Genomic DNA, 17,085 nt, shown 5'->3' with positions numbered 1-17,085 from the left:
TATATTTTATTATTTGCAATCTAGATTGTGTCATTGTCTTTTAAAACAGTGTAAAGAAAATAGTGATATTATTATGGCGGGGAACCATGGACTTCAGAGATAGAAGATGCCTTCAAGTCCTGACTGTAGTACTTAATGAGCAGATCACGCTATATTCTTTTAAGATCTTGCAGGACCAGCTTAAGAGGCCAAAAGCTTTAAAAGGAACCTGAGGCAGACATTCAAATTTGCTGGGCCCTAATGTGGGAAGAACTTGCTAGGCATGGGAGACTGAGGGAGGAACAAGATACAGTGCCTATCCTGAAGATACTCCAAGTCAGAATGGGAGCTAACCAGGAAATCTTCAGTCACTTCACAGTAGCAACGGCTGTGCTTAGTGTAACACATGGAGTGCCCTGGTACTCCAGCAGAGCCCTCCTCAAACTAGGCAGGGTCCAGTGTGGTTTCTCATAAGAGATGACCTACGACAGATGTATTCTGAAAGACGACTAGTAATAAGCTGGATGGAGGACCTAGGAAAAACAGGCATTCCCGGCAGGGCAAAAGGCATTAGCTGGCTTCCATTCTTCCTCTTTCTCTGGGCTGGTTCTGGCATTGAAACCTCACTACAAATATTTGTTCTTCTCCTTTGCCACTGCCGTGCATGTGTGTTACTTGGGCTAATATTTGCTTTTGTAGAAGACTGCACTTAACAATGCTTAATGGTGTGTATTGTGTAGATGGCCTGAAAGATTGTGGATTACCTGAGTTTTCCTGTTTCCTTTTGAATCTTAGAAAACATCGAGATAATTCTCTTCTGTTCTTATACATTTTCTTCATGCACTGAACAACTTGAGTCTGTAAAAATAACTCAAATGATGCAATATCTCATTTCTAATTTCTTGGCAATAACCAAGGAGAATCTTTCTGATTGTTAGTGTGGAAAGGGGGAGGCATAGCATGTTGTGCACCAAAATAAAATTGGGTCTGGGGTTGTCTTTTGAGGTGACCTCTGGTGTTTTTTAATTATAGAAACAGCTACATGTTTCTGTGGTTACAGAGATCCTGGTTAGACTACTCAAAGTGATGAGAGGCTCAGGAGTAACTACAATATGCAATTTTATTGTTTGTGAATTAATATGTTAAAAATTAGTAGCAGATTTGTTTTCCTTCACAGTTTTCACACAATTTAAGGAAAAAAGCTAACTGTAGCTTGTGTTTCCTTATGTGGTTTATATATTCACTCTTTGGTCCTAAGAATCCTAAAGACAAGTTTTGCACCTGCAGGCTTTGCTTCATGTTATGGAAAAGCTCTCTGGCGTGCTGGAGGGAAGGAAGTTGTCTCTCTTCCAGCTTAAGCGTAATGAAGGAGCAGAGGAAGGGTCTTCTGCAGGGATGAGCCCTTGTGCAAAGCCAGCAGGGCTTGGTTTGTTCAAGGAACGGCAAGTGATTGGATGACTGGCTTGCAGCTGGGTGGGGTTGGGTGAGGGATGAGGCTGAAGAGATGGGTTGGTAGTCATGCAACCGAAGTGCAGGTTCAATCATTCGCCGCTTGCAGAGTCCAATTAATAAGAACAAGGTCTGGTATAAAGAAAGTGCCTTTTTATTCCAAAACTAGCTTAGGGGAAGAAGTACAGGCTTCCGTCCTTAAGTATACTGCTTCACCTTTGGAGCAGAAAGTGGGCACTTTTAAAAGGCAAAGGAGGACACAAGCAGGTGAGGGGTTTTGTGCTAGCTTGGTGCCTTATCTATCAGGCTGTCAAGCTGGTGTCTTCATGGGCAGAAATGAGTTGTAATGGTGGCCAAAAACTCTAGCGGGCATACTTTGGATTGTAAATTGACTGTTATCTCTCGGGGCAACCTCCTGGTGGGTAAGAGTTCCATTCTGGAGCTTCTAAGCACACAGTTAGATGAATTTGCCCTGTGAGGAATATCTGCTGAAGAGGTGGTAAAGGCTATAATTGCATTTCTAAAGAGCTAAGTAGGAAGTTGGAAAAAGGAAAAAGAGAAGAGACAGAAAAAATAATTAAACTATCTCTTAGAAAAATGGGAGTATTCAGTGACAGTTTGGGGCGGATCACAAAGGGTCCTATGTTCTCCTTGTATGCTACCCTACCCAACCTCTAGGCTCTTCTTCCTCCACTATCTCCTGTATATTGATCTTCTCAGAGTATAGATCTGATCATGTTGTTTTCCACTTCAAACAAAATAGAACATAACACTTCACTAGCTCCTTGTTGCCCAATGAATAAGGAACAAATTCTTTAGATAAGTTTTGAAACTTTTTTCCTACTTTCTTCTACCAATCTTATTCTTTGGCTAATTTAGTCATTTTCCAAATGCTCCTTACTTTTTCAAACCTCTGTGCTTTTGCTTTTGTGCCATTCTGCCATTCCTTTTTTTCTAGAATGCTCATTCCCTGTCTCTACCTAGGAAGACTTGCCCACCTTTGAGGGCCTAATGCAAATGTGATTTCTTACTGGGTGAGATCTGAGGGTGAGGTGGGTCCTGCCTTTAATCCCTGTGCTTTGGGGAGGATCACTGGAGCCCAGGAGTTCGATGTTCCAGTGAGCTATGAATATACCACTGCACTCCAGCCTGGGCAACAGAGCCAGATCCCTGTCTCAAAGAAAAAAAAAAAAAAAGTAAAAAAAAGAAAAGAAATGTGATTTCCTTCATCCAGTTGTACTGTCATTCCAGGTAGAAGTGACTTTTATCTATACTTGGCTAAGCTTAATTTTTAAAAACTTTAAGTATAATTTACATGTACTTCCTTACATACTTACCTAAATGTAAGCATACAGGTTGAAGAAGTTTCACAAACTGAACACACTGGAATAATCAAGAATCAGAACACTACTAGCACCCCAGAAACCCTTTCTCCAGTCACTACTCCCACCTAAGGGTAACTACAACTCACACTTTAGGGTATAGATTAATTTTGAACTTTATAAAAGTGGAATTATAACATGTGTACTCTCTTGGATCTTTCTCCTAACATTATGTTAGCTTCTTTCTCCTAACATTATGTTAATGAAATTCATATTGTTATAGTTATTTGTGAATGCTTCATTCTTGTGGTGGTACAGTATTCCATTGTGTGCATACTATCACAATCTAGTTATGCATCTGTCGATTGGCTTTTTGCTACATTTAACATTCTGATGTATTTCTTTTGGTGAAAGTATGTATGCACTTTTGTTGTGTATAGAGGTAAGAGTAGAGTTGTTGGGTCATAGGGTATGCATATGTAGATACTGCCACACAGTTTTCCCAAGTGATTATATCAATTTACATACCCACCATTAATGTACAAGAATTCCAGTTGTTCAACATCCTCACTATTACTTGAAATCTCTAAACTGGCTGGATGTGGTGGCTTACACCTATAATTCTAGCACTTTGGGAGGCTGCGGTGGGAGAATTGCTTGAGGCCACGAGTTCGAGACCATCCTGGGCAACATAGTGAGACCCTGTTTCTACATTAAAAATGTTTAAAAAGAAAAAGAATTTAAAAATTAGAAAAATCTTTAATCTATTTTTTTTTTTTTTTTTAATACGGAGTCTTACTCTGTCACCCAGGCTGGAGTGCAGTGGCGTGATCTCGGCTCACTGCAAGCTCCGCCTCCCGGGCTCATGCCATTCTCCTGCCTCAGCCTCCCGAGTAGCTGGGACTACAGGTGCCCACCACCACACCCAGCTAATTTTTTGTACTTTTAGTAGAGACGGGGTTTCACCATGTTAGCCAGGATGGTCTCGATCTCCTGACCTCGTGATCCGTCCGCCTTGGCCTCCCAAAGTGCTGGGATTACAGGCGTGAGCCACCATGCCCGGCCTTTAATCTATTTTATTTTTCTGATTCTGATGGCATTGCACTGTGGTTTTAATTTGCATTTCTTTGATTATGACCTAGAGTCCTTGTTTTTTAAAAACATTCATGTACCCTTTATTATTCTATAATGTCTTCTATTATGGATATTTATGTACATGTCTGAGAGCAGAGATTAAATCTTGAATATATTTGTACACTTCAGGTCATCTAACTTTTGTATAGTTAGTAATCGATAAGTATTTATTGAATAAATATGTAATCATTATTACCACTAATTAAGTATTTCTTTTGTGCCAGGTACTATAATTAGCATTTTATATACGTCGTTATATTTGTTTGACACCCATATGCTTTTAGATAGCTAAAAGTATTCCCCTTTTCCAGATATGGAAATTAAAGCTCAGAGAGTTTAAGTGATTAAGTTTTTCTACTAGGTTTTCAACTAGTGAATGAAGGAGCTGAAATTTAAAGTTTTATCTCTTTTACTCCACATTCTATGCTCTTAATTACCATGCAAAAAGGGAGCATGAAAGAAAATTTGAGTTTATTTTTTTTAAGGTGTCTGGTTGCAAGAAACAGAAACCAATTTGAAATGGCCTAAACAAAGAAGGGAGAATTTATTACAAGAATTTAAGGGCCATATGAAGAGGGCAGTATTTGGGGAACAAGAAAGAAGGGGATCAGTTTTGGAAAGCCATTAGGAATCTGGGATATATTCTCTTTCCATCTTTGATCTCTGCATTTCTGCCTTGTGTCCATGTTACTATTCTCCTCTTGCTTTAGCTTTCTCTGCTGATCTGCCCTTATGACAGAATACAGCAACTCCACAGCTCCCAAGCATACAAATTGTACCTAACAGCCATGAAAATAGACTGGCTGGCTTTCCTTTGGTCTGGATTCCACATTCCTGAGAAGAAAAATGATTAGCTCAAACTAGGTCAAATTTTCCAATTAACTATATCCAGATGAGTAGGGAGTTACAGACTACCAACAGGATTCCTAGAAGCCCAAGCTATTACTTGGGGAGCCATTTCCAGAGAAGGGAATGGCTCATGGGTTCAGTAGACCCTTCTAAAAGCATCTATCCCAGAGTTCCCATCCAGGCAATGCAGAGGCCCAGAGCAACGTATAAAGGAGGGTTGTCTTTCTTCCTGTGAACTCTGAAAATTTGGCACAGGTCTCAGTTAATTTAAAAGTTTATTTTGCCAAGATTGAGGATGTCCCCATGACACAGCCTCAGGAGGTCCTGACAACATGTGCTCAAGGTGGCTGGGGTACAGCTTAGTTTTATACATTTTAGGGAGACACGAGACATCAATCAATATATATAAGAAGTACAGTCAATATATGTAAAAAGACAGGTGAGACAGGAAGGGTTGCATTATTTTGAGCTTCTGCTTAGTCCTTCCAAAAGAGGCAATCAGCTATGCATCTCAGTGAGCAGAGGGGTGACTTTGAATAGAATGGGAGGCAGATTTGCCCTAAGCAGTTCCCAGCATAACTTTTTCCCTTTAGCTTAGTGATTTGGGGGCCTCAAGATTTGTTTTCCTTTCACATTTACCCTCTTTTCTTTTTAAAAATATTTTGGAGATGGCATTTAACTAGAAAATTAGTCTCTGGTCTCAGGTTTCACCTGATCTTTCATGGCTAGGATGGTTTATTCCTAGAAGAGCAAATAGTGGAAGAAGAAGGGAGAAAAACAACAAACAAAAGAACACTCCTGGAAAATCAATATAGGCCCCACTACTCTGAAGTCTATAAATCAGTAGCAGGTATGAAAGTGGCTTATGCATGTAAATAGGTGGCTGTTATTTTCTTCTGAACTTTAAGTTGTCTAGTTTCAGTTTGCAGGGCTTTAAGAAAGCACAGCTTGGTTTTCAGTGACTCCCAGTTAGGAAAAATTGAAAAAAAAAAAAAAAAAGAAGGAAAAAAAAGAAAAAAAAAATTGAAAACATTATTTTGAAGACTTGTAGTCAAGAGAAAATTAGAATTTAGCCCAAACTGTAGAAATAATAAAAATTGAAAAACATTAGACAAGACTAGAATCTAACAACAGGTGTACAATTGTTTTTGAAACATAATTTTTCTCTCTCCAGTTTCCCATTTTTGCTAAAGACAAATCATGGTAGGATTGGTTTGCTTTATTATACTTGGCCTAATTACTTATATACAGTGCAAAAAAAATTATTTTTTACATAGGCTTTATATTGGCTTTGATGGAACCTTGTTCCATAGAAGGAATACCAGATAAGATGTTTTTAAAGCAGAGCCCAGCCATGGATTTGTGCCATCAAATACCTGTGAGTTGGGTGAATTTTCTCTCCTCTTGAGGTTCCAAGATAAACCGGGGGCCTCTACGCCTGTTAGAAGTGACATTCTTTACTTACCACAGGTCAGAAACCCTGTACAGGGACTGTGTACACAAAATATGAGGCCAATTTTTTCAAGGGCTTTATTGGCTCCATAAGTCAAGTTTGATTCCTTAAACGAAAGCACACCATTCCAGTCAAAGCCTTGGTAAAATAAGCAGTTTCTCCAATTGTGGTCTGTTATTAATGAAAACAGATTCTTATTGCACTTATGCAAATAACTGTATTGCCATGAGTTAAGAATACTTACAAATAGTTTCCAAATTCTGGAGAAATCAGCTAAAGAGAAACAAATATGCTCCAAACTTTGTTTATGGGAGTATACTAAATTGTTAAAAGCTGCCAATAGCTCAAAAGAAAAGTTTTAAGACTCTGAAAAGCAAAACAAAAGATCAGCAACATTTTAAGCAAAAAGTCAAAAAGATCAGTTCAGTCCATGCAGTTAATTCCTGTTCTGCTTGATACTCATGAATATTTTATAGCTCTCCATGAGTCCTGAAAGTTTTTCCTCTATTCTGATGTCACAATCTCCAAAGTTATCAGAAACCTGCATTCAAGAGCACCTGTTAGAGTTTTGTAGCTGATTATAAAGCCACCTTCTAAAGAGGACCAAAACAAGACAAAAATTGTCCATGGATGACAAAAAGTTTTAGGACAGCCATAGTCAAAAACACAGTTGAAAAGGACATTTGTTACCTCTGCGGCACACAATAATTTTAACATAACAATTATGATTATTACTGATAATGTACACTGAGTTATATAGAATTATAGGAATTTCCCATAATTTTGGAACACATACTAATAACATATTTTAAAAATGCAGCCCTCAAAAACCCAACACCATTTCATATTTGACAATGCTTCCTATATGATTTTTGTACCAAATAAGCCAAATTATGTTATTTTCTGAACTTTAGGGAACCTAATATGTTAAAGCTTTAATTAGGTCAGAAAAAGACATAATTTATAATTTGATTTTGGAAAGTTTGTCAAATATCAAAGGTTTTAAACATTTGATATCATAAAATAGGATCACAGGTCATTGTAAAATAAGTCATTCATTTAACCAAAGTGATAACTTCTGGACTTTAAAAAAAAGGCAAGAACCTTTATTCTTTGAGAAGAGACTTAATTTTCCAAACAATAAGCCCTAATAAAAACAGCATGAATCCAATTAAATTTGTTTTTCAAAATTTTATAAACAATCTATAAAATTTTTAATCTTGAACATAAGATATAGCTTCCATAGCACTTTATAATCTTTATGACCTTCACTAAGGAGTTGGTTAATGCTTTGAGAAAACTTTGTTAATCTGACACAGGGGCCCATATGCTGGTCTTCCATCAGTGTGCCTTTGACATTAATGATTCATCTATAAAGAAGCTTAACTTATTTTATCTTTCAAAATTGGCCCTTACAATATTGCGTGTGTGCCCATCTCTTCTGTGATAGTCCCTGGGCCTTGAGGAGTTGAAATAGCTTTAATTTCTTGCCCTGTGTCGCAGAAATGCAGTTTATTTTGACTGGCATCTTCTACAGGGCCTGAAGATGAGGCTTTAATTGCTGTTGGTGTTTAAGATTTAGCAAGACTTTGTGTCCTTTTTAGATCCAGGAGTCAAAACCCTGTAACTCAATGTCACAAGGACTTTAAAAGAACATACAGGAAAATACATGGATATAATAACCTTAAAAAAATTTTTTTTTTTAATCTCAGGTTTTTTTCCCTAAGCAAACCAGAACTTAATATTTGGACTTTCTGATTTGTCCTGAATATGCCTCCTTTTTAAACAACCAGTCATTTTATTTTAGGACTGAAGTTTACCATGTAAGATTCTTTCTCATATAAAATTATTTCTCTTTAAGCTTTCTTACCACACACACACAAAAATACCTCTTTATTTTTATAACTTTACATCTCTTTTTATTTCATGGTTCCTTTTACCTTGTTTTATATATAACCTTTAAATAAGCTTCGAATTAGACAAAAATTTTTCACCTTTTTTTTTTTAAAAAGTCACACTTTTTTTTGCAAGAATATTTTCCTACAATATATATTTATTGGAAAATACCCAAATAATGAAATATATATTATTTAATTTAATATAACTTTATATTCTAAATTATGAAATTATGACCAGTTTTCTACAAGTATTTATCCCATTACATTTATCTATTTTATTTTAATTGTCTACCTAGATTATTTATGAAAACTGTGATAGTCATGAATTTAAAGTTATGAAACTGCCATTGCAAAATTATGTATAACTGAGACAGTGAAAATAAGATTTGACCTAATTGACTCCAACCTGCTCTTAACCTCCAAGCTATCCTTGTTCATGCCTAGGCATAGGCCAAACTAACTTCGGGAGCAACTTAGTCTATAGTTTAGCTTTGAAACAAAAATGATAACAGTCCTTTCCCAAAACAAACTTCCTTATTGCCTGTGGACTAGACTGCCTAAAGCCACAGGATTAGAAATTATGGTAATCTTACTAAATTCAAGATGCAGCTATTTTCATTAAACCCATATCAATGTCTTACTTATTAAAAATTACACAAACAAAAATCATTCTGTTTTGGACTGGTTTTATAGTTTCGTAATCCCATGCCAAATTTTGACACCTTATAGCATTTGGCAGGGATAAGTATGGAATTGCTTGATTAATAAATGCAAAACAAAAACTGTATGCTGGCAATTCTTAAGACATTTCTAATATTACTTTACCAATAATTTTAAAGCTAGCTTATTTGTTAAAGATTTTATTTAAGTTACATAAACTTGAAAAAGCATTTGACTAGTCTATTTTTTAGTATCTGATTTAAGAGCTTTTATTTTCCTTTAAGCCAATTGATTAGAGCTCTTTTATATATTTTTAGTAGTGAAACATTTTGTACACAGCGCATAAATACATACAAAGATGTATTAGGCATGCCGATGGAAGTACATTTTATAGATTTATAAAGACCCCGCTCTTTTTTTTTCCTATCTTAGACTTTCAGATTCTTGATAGCCTGTTTCACAACCCTAGGCAGTTGTCAGCTAAATAGCCTTAAATTTGCACACTAAAGGAAACAACTCAGGTGAAAATCAAATAGCAAAATTTACATCATAAGGTACAGAGAGAAAGAGTCTGGTGGTCCTAGAGGGAGATGTTTTTTATTTTATTTTGAGCCAAATGAAACATAAAATTAAACTACACTCTTTCTTAAAAACTTAACAGTAGCCTCTGTTGCAATAACTATTTTAGTAAAAAAGAAAAAAAAAATCAGGTGAAAACAGAATTCAGTCAACTGAGAAGAAAAAGAAAAAAAAACTTTTGCTCAAAAAAAAAAAAAGACAAGGTCTTAGGAGAGAAAAACAAACAAAAAGCAAAAACTTGAAGACCTTTCAAATACAAAGATGCATACATGCACACATACATACACACATCTTGGATGGCCTTTTAATTAAGTTGATTTTTAACATTGAGCTCCTTTAAAAATGTTTTTTAAATCTTATTACCATATTTCAACTAGGACAAAATGCTGCTAAACTAACAATGATCACACAAAAATATACTATTTCTGAGCGCTCTAAGTATTAAGAAGAAATTAACACCAGCTGGTTGTTAAATGCTAACTTTAGTCATTTAAAAGGAGTTTGCAAGATAGAATCCCAAACCAGTTTCCTACCTAGTGATGGGTCTCAGGCTGTAGACTGCTCTCTACCACCCTAGAAGCAGGAAAAAACAACCACAACAAAAAACCAAGCTCATTTTCTCTGTTGCAAGCGAGCTCAAACTCCTTGAAGGAGTTACCTGCCTTTCAACGTCATGGAAGCAAGAAAACTTGCCTTCCTTGTGTTGGGAGCAAGTAAAACTCAAAAGAAAAAGAGGAGTTGTACAGCAAAATAAAGTTGGGGTCATGACTGAATTTGGGGAAATCAGGGATTCTCTGGAGTGGGTGCCCTCAGACCTTAGCAAATTGTTCTTTCGGTTTGAGCCATAAAGTTAGCTCCTGCTGGTATCAAGCACCAATAGGAGACTTGTCAAAGGTCAGGGCCATCTCCACTAAGAATCCCTCCATGGTTACCAAAATGTGAACCCTGAAAATTTGAGTAGAAAGCTTATTTTGCCAAGGTTGAGGATGTGCCTGTAACGCAGCCTCAGAAAGTCCTGACCTTGTGCCTAAGGTGATGTAGCACAGCTTAGTTTTATACATTTTAGGAGACATGAGGCTTCAGTCAATATATGTAAGAAGTACATTGGTTCGGTCTGGAAAGGCGGGACAACTTGAAGTGAAGGTAGGAAGACTTGAAGCAGGGAGGGGGCTCCCAGGTCGCAGATAGGTGACGGAGGGAGGGTTACACTCTTTTGAGTTTCTTTTGAGTCTTTCCAAAGGAGGCAATCAGATATGCATCTATCTCAGTGAGCAGAGGAGTGACTTTGAACAGAATGGAAGGCAAGTTTGCCCTAAGCAGTTCCCAGCTTGACTTTTGCCTTTAGCTTAGTGATTTGGGGACCCCAACTTTTATTTTCCTTTCACATCCCCAACCCTTCTACTTCATGTTTTGTATTTGTTTGTTTTGGTTTTAAACACACAAATTGAGAAATATATTTTTTTCTGATTTTAAAGTTTGAGCGAGCATAGGAAACCTTCTTAGGTACTAGAAATATTCTATATTTTAATCAGTGTGATGGTTACATGAGTGCATGTACATGCAAAAAATTTTAAAAATTAAGGGAACATCAACAAATTAGGATCAAATTGTGATCGCTGATTCCAGTCCTATCCCAACAGTCAGTGTAAAAAAGAAACTTACTTGAAGACGTTTTCACAGTAAATTTTTGCCAGGCTGGAGACTAGATTAGTGAATTGAATGTAACCTAATCTGGAGGTTCTCAGAGAAGCAAACTTATCATTTGCAACACGGGGCCTGTTTTTCTGCATTAATCATCACTCTAGGTTTACTTGATAGGAAAGAGGCCTTCCTGGGGGAAGATAAATGAGTGTGTGTTTCTTCCAAAGGCAAGGCTCTGAATGAACGGGCGATATTGGTGAGTCCTTTTTAATTTTCTTCAAATACCACGTTTGTGCTTTATTTAATCCACTTTTGTTTCGTTTTGTTTTTTGAGACAAGTTCTGGCTCTGTCACCCAGTGGCACAATCAGCCAACTGGAGCCTCGACCTCCTGGTGAGCGATCTTCTCACCTCAGTCCCCCAAGTAGCTGGGACTACAGGCTGGCACCACCGCATCTGGCTATTCCACTGTCATTTTGGGGGGCATGTTGAAGCCTAGAAGCTGGGCATGGTGGCCTGTGGTCCCAGCTACTCGGGAGGCTGAGGTGGGAGGATCGCTTGAGCCCGGGAGGTCAAAGCTGCAGGGAGCTGTGATCGCGCCACTGCACTCCAACCTGGGAGACAAAGCCACCAGACGGTCAAAAAAAAGGCCGGGCGCGGTGGCTCACGCTGTAATCCTAGCCTTTGGGAGGTCGAGGTGGACGAATTGCCTGAGCTCAGGACTTCTAGACTAGCCTGGGCAATACGGTGAAACCCCATCTCTACTAAAATACAAAAAGTTAGCCGAGTGTGGTGGTGCATGCCTGTAATCCCAGCTTCTCGGGAGGCTGAGGTAGGAGAATTGCTTGAACCCGGGAGGCAGAGGTTGCAGTGAGCAGAGATCGCGCCGCTGCACTCCAGCCTGGGGGACAGAGCGAGACCCTGTCTCCAAATAAATAAATAAATAAATAAATAAATACAAATAAAATTAAATTAAAAAGGCGAAGTCTAATAAAAGTGTAAGATTTTAGAAATGCAATGGATCTAGAAGTTTCTTAAAATGGGACAGTACGGTGTCGTTGCTGTCGTTTGTTTCAAAGCAATACTGCCACCTGTTGGTATAAAAAGACAGCTTTATCTCAATGTTTTTTCTGAAAGTCTTAATGCTGGAATGAGGCCCAGATAACCATGGGCGGAAATTAAACTGATGTTAATTTAGTATTGACACTCTGCCTGTCCTTCCCAAACTTCCCCTAAAGACATAGCTCACAGGAGTCTTAAAATTATGCCATAAAATAAAATAGACGAAAGAGTATTACCAGTACCTTAGAAAGCTGGAATGGTTGACTTCTGTGTTTGCTTAAGAGAAACTTCCACTTTCATTGCCTCATTGTTCACTTTCATTCCACGTAAGATTTTAAGATCAAAAAACACTTTTTCGGCTGGGCGAGATGGCTCACTCCTGTAATCCCAGCACTTTGGGAGGCGGTCGGATCGCTTCAGCCCAGGACTTCTAGACCAGCCTGGGCAACATGGTGAAACCCCGTCTCTACAAACAACACAAAAGAAAAATTAGCAGGGCGTGGTGGTGCCCGCCTGTGGTCCCAGCTACTCATGGAGGCAGAGGCGGGAGGATCGCTTGAACCCGGGGGCTGCACTGAGCCATGATTGTGCCACTGCATTCCAGCCTGAGCTACAAAGCAAGACCTTGTCTCAAAAAAAAAAAAGGTAATAATAATAATAATACATATAAATAAATAAATAATTTCAAAAACAAAAAACCCTAATTTTTCCATTTTTATGGTAGAAAATTGTCCTAGTAAATCTCTCACTTAATAAAAGAAATGTGTATCATTATGTTTTGTATGTTTATTTGGCAAATCCTACCTTATTAATTGACTTCCATCATTCAGTTTTATATTTTTTATTGCTGAATGTAATAAAGTTTTATTTTATCATGCAAATAAATGCTTTACAAAATAACAATTAAGGCTGGTCTGAAGGCAGTGAGTTATCTCAATTGATTGTTCATAGTTACAGATTGAACTTGTTGTTCCACTCTTCCCTGCCTTCTCTCTACTGCACTTGACTAGTCTAAGTTTTTTCTTAATTTAAAAAGTAACAAGGGAAAATATTTTTTTCTGATAAAATACCAAAATTTTACGTTAACTATAACACGAATTATGTAACAGAGACCATAAATAAAAATAACATAGGAAATGTGTTCTGTGGGCATATGACAATTTTCTGTTTTAGTGCATTTTTCTCTTGTTTGTTTATTAATTTGCCAAGCATTTAATAGGAAGCTACTATATTTCAGCACTATGCTTGAAGCTGGGATTACAAAGATTAATGAGACACAGCCCCTGCTCATTGACATGTCCCATTGTAGGTGGGTAAGACAGATACCAAGACAGATCATTATAATACTTTCTAGAAAGTATAATTATAAAAATGTTCTGAAGACATGGGAGGGGTATCCCAATCCTGAGAGAGAAATGGAGAGGAGGGCAGCTTGGTTTCAGGGAAGCTGAGTCTTAAATTATGTGTAGGTGTTGGCTTAGCGAAGGATAGAGGTTGGGGGTGATGGGAGGGCTGGTGTGGACTTTGAAGTGTTTGTAAGATTTCCAGCTATAGCAGGAACTGGAAATGGAAGTCAGAAACAAAAGCATAGGTAAGAGTGTGAGATATAGACTTAGGACGTCACTCAGAAAGACTGTGTAGTAAGAGAAGACTCATGGGCTGGGGATGAACACCTGAGTAGGCAGAGGGAGGTTGGCTCACAAACAACCACCAGCAGCAAAAACCAAAGATTCCCAAAGAAAACCAAGCAAATTCAGCCATGGAATCCATGGGCACTCATCCACAGCCTTTGGACCAAGTTGGCCCAAATTTTCATTTTGTTTCCCTCACCAGTGTTTACAATATTTTTTAAAAATAGTTGCCAACAGTTAAGAATTGAGAGGTATCTCAAGAAATCTGCATTTCTAGCTTCCTTTGAAATATACAAGGCATAAAATGTTAGGTTGAGAGGAACATGAGCAGGTCTGTAGATACTAGAGGAGGGCTCAATGAAGAAGGTGAGGTTGAAGGTAAAGGAAAACAAGAAAAAGATTGATGAAGCCAATTGCAGAGGGAGCAGGAGGGAGTAGGTTCCCAGTGGTGATGAGGGCAGGAAGAACTTGCCCTCTGAGACTTGGGCAGAGGAGGCAGGCAACTTTGTAATGTGTATGAGTAGGATGATATAGGATGTTTTACTGACACTGCCAATTTTGTGAATAAAGTATGAGATGAGGTGGTCAACTGAGAGCCATTGAGAAGTGGGATGAAGAACCTGGTCAAAGACAAACAGGAAGGTTGACAAATTGCTCAGGGCTAGGCTGAGATTGAAAAGCACAAATGAATTGTATAGTAACTTTGTGCCAGTGTGCACTTGCAGCAGCAACACCAGAGTTTAGAATCAGAAAAGGTAGGTTGTAAAATTGATCATAAGTTTTGATCTTTCTGGTGAGGTAGTAATTTAGAATGAAGGGGTCTGGCCAGTGTAATGGAAGAAGAGAGGCTAAGAGGATCCTGTTAGACCTTAATGAAAGAACAAGTCAAGGAATTAGGAGTCTCTGTGAACAGATGGTTTGAAGGTAGAGACAGCAGAAAGGATAGGGGATAATCTGAGACCGGACAACTGGAGTTAGGATTTCTGAATTGGGGCATTTGGAGGATATTAAGATCCCAGATCAGCTCCTTGGATTAGGAGGCTGAAATGCAATGCAGCAAAGGAGACTCAGGAATTACAAAGCAATATTGCTCAGTGGCTATCTAAATAGAGGTTGAAATCTCTCAGGATTTGTGGTGGAGAAGATTTCTACGCAATGATGGACAGTGATCTGAAGGCAGTAGATGACAGCAGTGAAGAGGAGTAAAAGGGCGGTATACTTAGATGACATGAACATTAAGAAGAAGAGGGCAGGGACACCAACACTCATCGCAGGCTTGCAGATGCCTGCCCGGTAGTCCTGCTGAGCATGCATGCCTCCGTTGCCAAGGAGACCCATTCATTGCTGTCTCCACATACAAGGCAAGCTGAGGCCTGCTGTTCAAGATACTGAGGAGTCTGCTGTTTATCTCTAACCCTCATCTTAATCCACACAAGCCCTGCCGTGAGCTCTCCTGTGACATAGCCCTGTCCAGAGAGAATGTCAGCTTTCGCTGCCTGCCCGTGGGCTACCTGCTTCTTTTTGCCTGTCTCTGACTCTGTTCAAGTTGCAGCTCTAGCCACTAATGGACTGTCCTATCTCCTCTTTCTTCTGCCAGCAAGGTGATTGCAATGCCTGTTCGAATGTGTCTCTGGAGAAGAGCCAGGTGTCTTAAATGACACTGCTACAGCCTGAAGGGTCTGTAAGAATTGGGCTGTGGCAAAATTCATTTGGAATCTCATGTTAGGGATGGTGCAAGCTGTGAACAGTTAGTGACCCCTCTCCTCCCAGCTCTGCCCTGGCCTCAAACCAGGACTATCCAAGGGGAGGATCACTATCAATGGAGAAATCGAAGACAACCATAATAATGAGGCCTAATGAAAGAAGCCAAATATACTATATGTAGTTTATTTAAACTGTACATGGTATGCAATTTTTACAGTATTGTTTGCCATTTTTGTTAAATGTAATAAACTCTCCTTTTCTTCTAGAAATTGAAGCTTTACTTTTGGCACAACATATAAGCAGACACTTATGGTCTAGAGAGAGGGACAAATGGCAAACAGGAGTTAAAATTGAAGATGCCAGCACCCAGGGCTGTGCTATGCCCTTATCTCTTGAGCCTTGGAACAGAAGCTGAGTCAGCACTATTTCTCAGTTGCCTGTAGCAAGGGAGCTTCCCCATCAGCTGTTTAAAGACAAATAGAAAGGAAGAGAAAGGAAGCCTGCATTCCCTTGGGCTCCCTCTGCATATTTTAGGCATGAGTCAGCTCCCAGGGCTGGCATTTGTCCCTCCATTAACAGCTAAGTTCCCTATGTCTCCAGACAGACAGCTCTCGAAATAGCCAATGCCTGGGCAAATGACCTGCAAGTGGGAGGGGACAGTCAGAGAATGCCAGTTCTTGTTGATCCTGTGGGGTGGGAGTGGGGATGGACAGCTTTCAGCCTTCAGTTAAGATAGGAAGTGGAGGAGAACATTCTCCCCTGGTTCTCACTTTAGAGAGAAGAATCAATCCTTATGGCATTAACGTTTTGGATTTTTTGGTTTTAACATGTCTCAAACCTATCCACTCAATATAGCTCATTTTACTCCAGGGAAATTTTTAACATGTCATCTCAGCCAACCTACATTCACCTAGCAATACTTAGATAAATGTTATGGTATACACAGACAAGAAACTAGAACACAAAGCTAGGAAATTTTTTCATTTTCATTTTGTAATGTCTATTCTCTGCAATATGGAAAAAATTGCACCAGTTAGGTTTTCAGCCTAAAGCAGTGATTTGAAAACTTTATGTAAGAATCCGCTGAAAGTTTTTAAAAAGTTCTAATGCCAGGCCTCCCCCAAGCCAATCCTGTTAAAATCTATGGGGGTAAGCATCAATATTTCTAGATTTCCCCAGGTATTTCCCATGAACAGCCAAGGCAGAGAACCACTAATGAGTATCGTTTACACAAGTAATGACAGACAGGTGTCTCCATTGAATTCATGGTGTATTCATTGCCATTATCAGTTAGCCCTCTAAGAGTGTTGATTTGATTATCATGATGGTATTTATGGAGCCTAATACAATCATAATCATTGTGAAGCAAGCTAGGACAAGAGTCATGTGGGAGGCAGAGGTTTCATGAACCAGAGGGTAACTTCTATCAGTCATCAAACCTGAAGGAGCCCAAAGCATTGATCAAAGTCAGAGGTACTGGGCCCTGAATTCAGAGAAATGGAGGATGGAAGCAAAAGTAGTGGATCTGGTATAAATGGGGAGTAAGCCAGGGAAATTTTCTTGAATCATTTATCTCTGCAACTAGATCTTGTGGGCCAGATGCAATAGGATACTTGGGAGGGCCTGCTGTGTTTAAACAAAGAGGAACAACAGTAAATAAACTCCCAAATTCTTTTAGTCCCTGATGTGATGATTTTTAGAATGATTTTTTTTCTAGTCAAGAGA

At 38.7% G+C, this 17,085-nt stretch overlaps 2 long non-coding RNA genes across 5 annotated transcripts in view, besides 1 other annotated feature; one reads left to right on the top strand and one right to left on the bottom strand.

Annotated features, from left to right (window-relative positions):
• Window positions 1-4,338: 4,338 nt before the first annotated feature.
• Window positions 4,339-17,085, bottom strand: part of LOC105375138 (uncharacterized) — a 121,035-nt gene continuing 108,288 nt past the window's right edge. The window contains exons 4-6 of one of the 4 annotated variants that reach the window (XR_001745076.2): window positions 12,268-12,491; window positions 6,110-6,171; window positions 4,339-4,718 (exon numbers count right to left, since the gene is read on the bottom strand). This is a non-coding gene — a long non-coding RNA (uncharacterized LOC105375138). Of the gene's footprint in view, window positions 6,172-7,217; window positions 12,492-17,085 lie in introns of those variants that run through there. The other 3 variants (XR_927009.3, XR_927010.2, XR_001745075.2) reach the window with 3 other exon arrangements.
• Window positions 10,450-10,567: a transcriptional cis regulatory region, noted in NCBI's record as "candidate enhancer chr7.922 targeted for multiplex CRISPR interference". NCBI's record gives its function as "positively regulates C1GALT1 gene expression with high confidence in K562 cells {active_cell/tissue: K562}" and the evidence as "EXISTENCE:mutant phenotype evidence [ECO:0000015][PMID:30612741]".
• LOC124901584 (uncharacterized) lies at window positions 11,183-15,098 on the top strand. The gene is made up of 2 exons (XR_007060203.1): window positions 11,183-11,220; window positions 14,784-15,098. It is a non-coding gene; the product is annotated as an uncharacterized LOC124901584 (long non-coding RNA).

Source organism: Homo sapiens, chromosome 7 (assembly GCF_000001405.40).
Source record: "Homo sapiens chromosome 7, GRCh38.p14 Primary Assembly".
NCBI classification, from domain to species: Eukaryota; Metazoa; Chordata; class Mammalia; order Primates; family Hominidae; genus Homo; species Homo sapiens.
The sequence above is the reverse complement of the archived record's forward strand: the minus strand, read 5'-3'. Positions and strand labels throughout refer to the sequence as shown.